We start from the raw sequence: 9702 nt of genomic DNA on the forward strand, positions 1-9702 counted from the left end.
ATCTCCTCAAATTGCTCCTGGGGATAACGTAACTATTATAAAATATAAGACCAGTGCTTGAGATATTTTGCAGACCCTGCACTTGATGGATCAGCTGGCACCACCTAGATCAATGAACTGGCTCATCTGGTCTTGTGGCCCCCATCCACTAATTGACTCAGGGTAAGAGGAATCAACTCCCTTTGATTTAACCTCCAACCCAACCAATCAAAACTCCTGACTCACTGGAACCCTTCCCACAAAATTATCCTTAAAAATTATGATCCCCGCATTTTCTGTGAAAGTGATTTGAGTAATAATAAAACTCCAGTCTCCTGCACAGCTGGCTCTGTGTGAATTACTCTTTTTCTATTGCAATTCCCATATTTTGATAAATCAGTTCTGTATAGGGAGTGGGCAAGGTGAACCCACTGGGCAGTTATAGTTATTTCCTGGTCAACCATTTTATAGCCTGTGAATTTCAGGTGTTTACCTAATTAAGAATCTTAAGATTAAATATATGTTTATTTTAATAATAATTCAAGATTTAGCTATTTTTATTAAGCCAATATTAATGGCTTACTTATCAAAAATTACACAAGCAAAATCATTCTGTTTCAGGCTGGGTTTACACTTTTGTAACCCTTATGCCAAATGTTGACATGTTAAAGTATTTGGCAGGGATAAGTATGAAATCATTTGATCAATAAGTGCAAACAAAAATGTATGCTGGCAATTCTTGAGACATTTCTGATATTAATTTAACAATAATTTTAAAGCTAGATTTTTACATATTTTGCTTAAGACAGGTGAACTTGAAAAGCATTTGTGCTTATTATGTAATTTATGAGTACCCTTTAAGCCAATTTGGTACCTTGTGGCCAAAAATACAACAAAATACATGTACATACACATAAACACACATATACATACTAATACAACCAAAGATCCTATAGATTTTACTGCAGAATTCTAGCCATGAGATATTAATAAAACTCACTGGTTTGCAAAAACAGCAACAAAAAATATATGGTTAATTTCAAGCAGTGGATTTTATCTCAGTAGAAAAGTAAAAGTACACTTAAGGCAGAAAAGAAAGCAGAGAGATAGAGAACGTGGGAACTTTATAATTGCAGGTAGACCTTTGGGTTCTTCATTTTCCTTGATATAATCATGCATGAAAATACTACATATATCCATTTTACTGAAACTATTGCAAGAAGAGGCACCATAAAACCAAAGGAGTGCCTGAAAAGGAGGTCATTCTCCTTGTTTTTTCTCATTCGTAGATTATTTGTTTCCCACCATTTTTTTAAAGGAGAAACTAAGCTGCAGCCTAGTGGGTTGAGTGGGTTGCAGTGTGCTGCTTGTGGGTGGGACTCCACAGTGTGTTACCATTGAGTCATTTCCACCCTCTTACATGTCTCAGTTTCTCTCTCTGGAGGTCTAGACCTCCAAGAGGGCTCAAAATGCAGAGCGACCAGCTTCTATATGTACTTCCTGACCAAACCTTTTTAAACTAATTATGTTGGGGGTTTCCTGTAGGACTACTACATGTCACGGGGGGTCAACCACCTCTAAGATACTCCCACTCATCACCCAGGGTTGCCTGTTGGCTGGGAGGAGCAAAATGCCCTTTCTCTTAAGAGCTGAAGAAAATCAGTCTCTCATTTTTTGGGGGGGATTTATTTTTTTATTTTTTATTTTTTTTATTATACTTTAAGTTTTAGGGTACATGTGCACATTGTGCAGGTTAGTTACATATGTGTACATGTGCACATTGTGCAGGTTAGTTACATATGTATACATGTGCCATGCTGGTGCGCTGCACCCACTAACTCATCATCTAGCATTAGGTATATCTCCCAATGCTATCCCTCCTCCCTCCCCCCACTCACAACAGTCCCCAGAGTGTGATATTCCCCTTCCTGTGTCCATGTGATCTCATTGTTCAATTCCCACCTATGAGTGAGAATATGCGGTGTTTGGTTTTTTGTTCTTGCCATAGTTTACTGAGAATGATGATTTCCAATTTCATCCATGTCCCTACAAAGGACATGAACTCATCATTTTTTATGGCTGCATAGTATTCCATGGTGTATGTGTGCCACATTTTCTTAATCCAGTCTATCATTGTTGGACATTTGGGTTGGTTCCAAGTCTTTGCCATTGTGAATAATGCCACAATAAACATACGTGTGCATGTGTCTTTATAGCAGCATGATTTATAGTCCTTTGGGTATATACCCAGTAATGGGATGGCTGGGTCAAATGGTATTTCCAGGTCTAGATGCCTGAGGAATCGCGACACTGACTTCCACAATGGTTGAACTAGTTTACAGTCCCACCAACAGTGTAAAAGTGTTCCTATTTCTCCACATCCTCTCCAGCACCTGTTGTTTCCTGACTTTTTAATGATTGCCATTCTAACTGGTGTGAGATGGTATCTCATTGTGGTTTTGATTTGCATTTCTCTGATGGCCAGTGATGATGAACATTTTTTCATGTGTTTTTTGGCTGCATAAATGTCTTCTTTTGAGAAGTGTGTGTTCATGTCCTTCACCCAATTTTTGATGGGGTTGTTTGTTTTTTTCTTGTAAATTTGTTTGAGTTCATTGTAGATTCTGGATATTAGCCCTTTGTCAGATGAGTAGGTTGTGAAAATTTTCTCCCATTGTGTAGGTTGCCTGTTCACTCTGATGGTAGTTTCTTTGGCTGTGCAGAAGCTCTTTAGTTTAATTAGATCCCATTTGTCAATTTTGTCTTTTGTTGCCATTGCTTTTGGTGTTTTAGATATGAAGTCCTTGCCCATGCCTATGTCCTGAATGGTAAAGCCTAGGTTTTCTTCTAGGGTTTTTATGGTTTTAGGTCTAACATGTAAGTCTTTAATCCATCTTGAATTGATTTTTGTGTTGTAAGGAAGGGATCCAGTTTCAGCTTTCTACATATGGCTAGCCAGTTTTCCCAGCACCATTTATTAAATAGGGAATCCTTTCCCCATTGCTTGTTTTTCTCAGGTTTGTCAAAGATCAGATAGTTGTAGATATGTGGCATTATTTTTGAGGGCTCTGTTCTGTTCCATTGATCTATATCTCTGTTTTGGTACCAGTACCATGCTGTTTTGGTTACTGTAGCCTTGTAGTATAGTTTGAAGTCAGGTAGTGTGATGCCTCCAGCTTTGTTCTTTTGGCTTAGGATTGACTTGGCGATGCGGGCTCTTTTTTGGTTCCATATGAACTTTAAAGTAGTTTCTTCCAATTCTGTGAAGAAAGTCATTGGTAGCTTGATGGGGATGGCATTGAATCTGTAAATTACCTTGGGCAGTATGGCCATTTTCATGATATTGATTCTTCCTACCCATGAGCATGGAATGTTCTTCCATTTGTTTGTATCCTCTTTTATTTCCTTGAGGAGTGCTTTGTAGTTCTCCTTGAAGAGGTCGTTCACATCCCTTGTAAGTTGGGTTCCTAGGTATTTTATTCTCTTTGAAGCAATTGTGAACGGGATTTCACTCATGATTTGGCTCTCTGTTTGTCTGTTGTTGGTGTATAAGAATGCTTGTGATTTTTGTACAATGATTTTGTATCCTGAGACTTTGCTGAAGTTGCTTACCAGCTTAAGGAGATTTTCGGCTGAGACAATGGGGTTTTCTAGATATACAATTATGTTGTGTGCAAACAGGGACAATTTGACTTCCTCTTTTCCTAATTGAATACCCTTTATTTCCTTCTCCTGCCTAATTGCCCTGGCCAGAACTTCCAACACTATGTTGAATAGGAGTGGTGAGAGAGGGCATCCCTGTCTTGTGCCAGTTTTCAAAGGGAATGTTTCCAGTTTTTGCCCATTCAGTATGATATTGGCTGTGGGTTTGTCATAGATAGCTCTTATTATTTTTGAAATACGTCCCATCAATACCTAATTTATAGAGAGTTTTTAGCATGAAGGGTTGTTGAATTTTGTCAAAGGCTTTTTCTGCATCTATTGAGATAATCATGTGGTTTTTGTCTTTGGCTCTGTTTATATGCTGGATTACATTTATTGATTTGCATATGTTGAACCAGCCTTGCATCCCAGGGATGAAGCCCACTTGATCATGGTGGATAAGCTTTTGGATGTGCTGCTGGATTCGTTTTGCCAGTATTTTCTTGAGGATTTTTGCATCAATGTTCATCAAGGATATTGGTCTAAAATTCTCTTTTTTGGTTGTGTCTCTGCCTGGCTTCAGTATCATAATGATGCTGGCCTCATCAAATGAGTTAGGGAGGATTCCCTCTTTTTCTATTGATTGGAATAGTTTCAGAAGGAATGGTACCAGCTCCTCCTTGTACCTCTGGTAGAATTCAGCTGTGAATCCATCTGGTCCTGGACTCTTTTTGGTTGGTAAGCTATTGATTATTGCCACAATTTCAGATCCTGTTATTGATCTATTCAGAGATTCAACTTCTTCCTGGTTTAGTCTTGGGAGAGTGTATGTGTCGAGGAATTTATCCATTTCTTCTAGATTTTCTAGTTTATTTGCATAGAGGTGTTTGTAGTATTCTCTGATGGTAGTTTGTATTTCTGTGGGATCGGTGGTTATATCCCCCTTATCATTTTTTATTGCATGTATTTGATTCTTCTCTCTTTTTTTCTTTATTAGTCTTGCTAGCGGTCTATCAATTTTGTTGATCCTTTCAAAAAACCAGCTCCTGGATTCATTAATTTTTTGAAGGGTTTTTTGTGTCTCTATTTCCTTCAGTTCTGCTCTGATTTTAGTTATTTCTTGCCTTCTGCTAGCTTTTGAATGTGTTTGCTCTTGCTTTTCTAGTTCTTTTAATTGTGATGTTAGGGTGTCAATTTTGGATCTTTCCTGCTTTCTCTTGTGGGCATTTAGTGCTATAAATTTCCCTCTACACACTGCTTTAAATGCGTCCCAGAGATTCTGGTATGTTGTGTCTTTGTTCTCCTTGGTTTCAAAGAACATCTTTATTTCTGCCTTCATTTCGTTATGTACCCAGCAGTCATTCAGTAGCAGGTTGTTCAGTTTCCACGTAGTTGAGCAGTTTTGAGTGAGATTCTTAATCCTGAGTTCTAGTTTGATTGCACTGTGGTTTGAGAGAGAGTTTGTTGTAATATCTGTTCTTTTACATTTGCTGAGGAGAACTTTACTTCCAAGTATGTGGTCAATTTTGGAATAGGTGTGGTGTGGTGCTGAAAAAAATAATGTATATTCTGTTGATTTGGGGTGGAGAGTTCTGTAGATGTCTATTAGGTCCGCTTGGTGCAGAGCTGAGTTCAATTCCTGGGTATCCTTGTTGACTTTCTGTCTCGTTGATCTGTCTAATGTTGACAGTGGGGTGTTAAAGTCTCCCATTATTATTGTGTGGGAGTCTAAGTCTCTTTGTAGGTCACTCAGGACTTGCTTTATGAATCTTGGTGCTCCTGTATTGGGTGCATATATATTTAGGATAGTTAGCTCTTCTTGTTGAATTGATCCCTTTACCATTATGTAATGGCCTTCTTTGTGTCTTTTGATCCTTGTTGGTGTAAAGTCTGTTTTATCAGAGACTAGGATTGCAACCCCTGCCTTTTTTTGTTTTCCATTTGCTTGGTAGATCTTCCTCCATCCTTTTATTTTGAGCCTATGTGTGTCTCTGCACGTGAGATGGGTTTCCTGAATACAGCACACTGATGGGTCTTGACTCTTTATGCAATTTGCCAGTCTGTGTCTTTTAATTGGAGCATTTAGTCCATTTACATTTAAAGTTAATATTGTTATGTGTGAATTTGATCCTGTCATTATGATGTTAGCTGGTTCTTTTGCCGGTTAGTTGATGCAGTTTCTTCCTAGTCTCGATGGTCTTTACATTTTGGCATGATTTTGTAGCGGCTGGTACCGGTTGTTCCTTTCCATGTTTAGTCCTTCCTTCAGGAGCTCTTTTAGGGCAGGCCTGGTGGTGACAAAATCTCTCAGCATTTGCTTGTCTGTAAAGTATTTTATTTCTCCTTCGCTTATGAAGCTTAGTTTGGCTGGATATGAAATTCTGGGTTGAAAATTCTTTTAAGAATGTTGAATATTGGCCCCCACTCTCTTCTGGCTTGTAGGGTTTCTGCCGAGAGATCCGCTGTTAGTCTGATGGGCTTCCCTTTGAGGGTAACCCTACCTTTCTCTCTGGCTGCCCTTAACATTTTTTCCTTCATTTCAACTTTGGTGAATCTGACAATTATGTGTCTTGGAGTTGCTCTTCTCGAGGAGTATCTTTGTGGCATTCTCTGTATTTCCTGAATCTGAACGTTTGCCTGCCTTGCTAGATTGGGGACGTTCTCCTGGATAATATCCTGCAGAGTGTTTTCCAACTTGGTTCCATTCTCCCCATCACTTTCAGGTACACCAATCAGACGTAGATTTGGTCTTTTCACATAGTCCCATATTTCTTGGAGGCTTTGCTTATTTCTTTTTATTCTTTTTTCTCTAAACTTCCCTTCTCACTTCATTTCATTCATTTCATCTTCCATTGCTGATACTCTTTCTTCCATTTGATCACATCGGCTCCTGAGGCTTCTGCATACTTCATGTAGTTCTCAAGCCTTGGTTTTCAGCTCCATCAGCTCCTTTAAGCACTTCTCTGTATTGGTTATTCTAGTTATACATTCTTCTAAATTTTTTTCAAAGTTTTCCACTTCTTTGCCTTTGGTTTGAATGTCCTCCCGTAGCTCAGAGTAATTTGATCATCTGAAGCCTTCTTCTCTCAGCTCGTCAAAGTCATTCTCCATCCAGCTTTGTTCTGTTGCTGGTGAGGAACTGTGTTCTTTTCGAGGAGGAGAGGCGCTCTGCTTTTTAGAGTTTCCAGTTTTTCTGTTCTGTTTTTTCCCCATCTTTGTGGTTTTATCTCCTTTTGGTCTTTGATGATGGTGGTGTAGAGATGGGTTTTTGGTGTGGATGTCCTTTCTATTTGTTAGTTTTCCTTCTAACAGACAGGACCCTCAGCTGCAGGTCTGTTGGAGTGCCCTGCCATGTGAGGTGTCAGTGTGCCCCTGCTGGGGGGTGCCTCCCAGTTAGGCTGCTCGGGGATCAGGGACCCACTTGAGGAGGCAGTCTGCCCGTTCTCAGATCTCCAGCTGCGTGCTGGGAGAACCACTGCTCTCTTCAAAGCTGTCAGACAGGGACATTTAAGTCTGCAGAGGTTACTGCTGTCTTTTTGTTTGTCTGTGCCCTGCCCCCAGAGGTGGAGCCTACAGAGGCAGGCAGGCCTCCTTGAGCTGTGGTGGGCTCCACCCAGCTGGAGCTTCCCTGCTGCTTTGTTTACCTAAGCAAGCCTGGGCAATGGCAGGTGCCCCTCCCCCAGCCTCGCTGCCACCTTGCAGTTTGATCTCAGACTGCTGTGCTAGCAATCAGCGAGACTCCATGGGCGTTGGACCCTCCGAGCCAGGTGTGGGATATAATCTCGTGGTGCGCCGTGTTTGAAGCCGGTCGGAAAAGCGCAGTATTCGGGTGGGAGTGACCCGATTTTCCAGGTGCTGTCCGTCACCCCTTTCTTTGACTCGGAAAGGGAACTCCCTGACCCCTTGAGCTTCCCAAGTGAGGCACTGCCTCGCCCTGCTTTGGCTCGCGCATGGTGCGTCCACCCACTGACCTGTGCCCACTGTCTGGCACTCCCAAGTGAGATGAACCCAGTACCTCAGATGGAAATGCAGAAATCCCCTGTCTTCTGCGTCACTCATGCTGGGAGCTGTAGACATGAGCTGTTCCTATTCGGCCCTCAGTCTCTCATTTGTCTATGAAAACAACAGTTATTTCCTCACACAAATGTGCAGACAAGCCAATTGAGATTAATTTCAGGAGGAAAATTCAATGGAGAAGACTCTTTAGAATGCACCTCTGAAGGAGCATTAGGATTCTAAACAATAACTTTCTAGGAGAAAACAATAACGACAAAAAAACAGCCAAGACCACTTCCTGTAAACTGTCCTCAGCCACCCCTAACTTTGTAGCTCTCGTCCACCATTACACACACCAAGGTCAAATCCTCTCACAGTATAAGGTAATCTCTGGTACGCCTGAAACCAAAGAGGTCAAGTAATGCAATACAGAGGAGCAGAGCTTTAGATCTTGGAACAATCTACCCATGACTCTTGAAACTCCACAAAGAAAACAGAATGTCTCAAAAGGGGTGAGTGGCTCCTTTTTCCTGAGTTCTTTTAGGAGTTCGAGTCATTAGAAGCCTTCTCTAGATTTTTCTTGCTACTGAAGATGGTGAAGGGGGAAGGAGGTATAGGGCAGTGGAAAAGTAAACAAAAGAACATTTGTTTTTTAAGACAGGTAGCAAACACAGAAACAAAGCACATTTTTTTATGTGTGGGGTTTTTGTTGTTGTTGTTTTTCCCTCTTTTGCAGCTGTGAGGAATTTTAGCCAATTCAGAGAGGCCTTGTTACCCATAATTTGGAATTCTCATTCAGATTTGACAAAGTCAGGTAGAGTTGGTCAAATCTGACAGGAAAAAGACTGGAACAAACAACAAACAGAAAAACCCAACAATGTGACTACTGAGTACTCTAATGATAAGGAGAAGTTAAGACCAGTTGGTTGTTCATCTTTAGCCAAGACAAAACCTCAGTTCAGCTACTTACCTAGGGATGGGTCTCAGGCTGAAGACTGCTCTCTACCATCCTAGAAGCAGGGAAAAAAACTCAAACTTACCTTCCCTGTTGGAAGCAAGCTCAAACTCCATAAAGCAGTTATGTGTCTTCCATCATCATGGTAGAAGAAAAATTTGCCTTCCTTGTCAGAGGCAAGTAAAAATCCAAAAAAAAAAAAAAAAAATGAGTTGTACATCAAAATAAACCTTAGATATCAACCAAATTTGGGGAGGTCAGGGATTCTTTGGAGGAGGTGATTACAGGCCTCAGCAAACTGTCCTATTGGTTTGAGCCATAAAGACAGCTCAAGCTGGTACCAAGCACCAATATGAGATTTCTCAAAGGTCAGGGTCACCTCCACTCAGAATCCACTCATGGTTGTCAAAATGTAAATCCCTAATATCTGAGACAGTTTTCTGTCAATTTAGACAGTTTATTTTGCCAAGGTTAAGGATGTGCCCATGACACATCCTCAGGAGTTCCTGATGACATGTACCCAATGTGGTCAGGACGCAGCTTGGTTTTATACATTTTAGGGAGACATGAGACATCAATTAATATATGTAAGATGTACCTTGGTTTAGTGTGGAAAGGTGAGACAACTCGAAGTGAAGAGGGGACTTCCAGGTCATAGGTAGATAAGAGACAAAAGATTGCCTTATTTTGAGTTTCTGATTAGCCTTCCAAAAAGAAGCAATAAGATACACATTTATCTCAGTGAGCACAGGGATGACTTAATAGAACGAGAGGCAGATTTGCCCTAAGCAGTTTCCAGCTTGATTTTTCCCTTTAGCTTAGAGATTTCGGTGTCCCAAGATTTATCTTTCTTTCACAATACAAACAATATGTTTGTTAACGTATTTTAGGGCACTCATTTTGAGGCGGCATTTGCATAGGAAGCACATCGTTTTGATATTAAAAACATTTTTATTCAGGGGTAATATGACATATGTGAAGGGATACTGGAGATTATGTATGATCTAAACCTTCACCTTGGCACCGCCGCTACTTAGCTTTCTTATTTCTAACACATAGAGGAAGAGAATCCTGAGGCTGGTTTTATTTTTCTTATTTCCTTTACATTGCTTAATGTTTCAGTACAAAAT

At 40.4% G+C, this 9702-nt stretch overlaps 1 annotated feature.

Annotated features, from left to right (window-relative positions):
* Positions 7035–7329: an enhancer, noted in NCBI's record as "tiled region #1920; HepG2 Activating non-DNase unmatched - State 24:Quies, and K562 Activating non-DNase unmatched - State 24:Quies". NCBI's record gives its function as "activates a minimal TATA promoter and a strong SV40 promoter by Sharpr-MPRA in HepG2 and K562 cells {active_cell/tissue: HepG2 | K562}" and the evidence as "EXISTENCE:reporter gene assay evidence [ECO:0000049][PMID:27701403]".

The sequence above is a fragment of the Homo sapiens genome, chromosome X (genome assembly GCF_000001405.40).
Source record: "Homo sapiens chromosome X, GRCh38.p14 Primary Assembly".
In the NCBI taxonomy this organism is placed as follows: domain Eukaryota; kingdom Metazoa; phylum Chordata; class Mammalia; order Primates; family Hominidae; genus Homo; species Homo sapiens.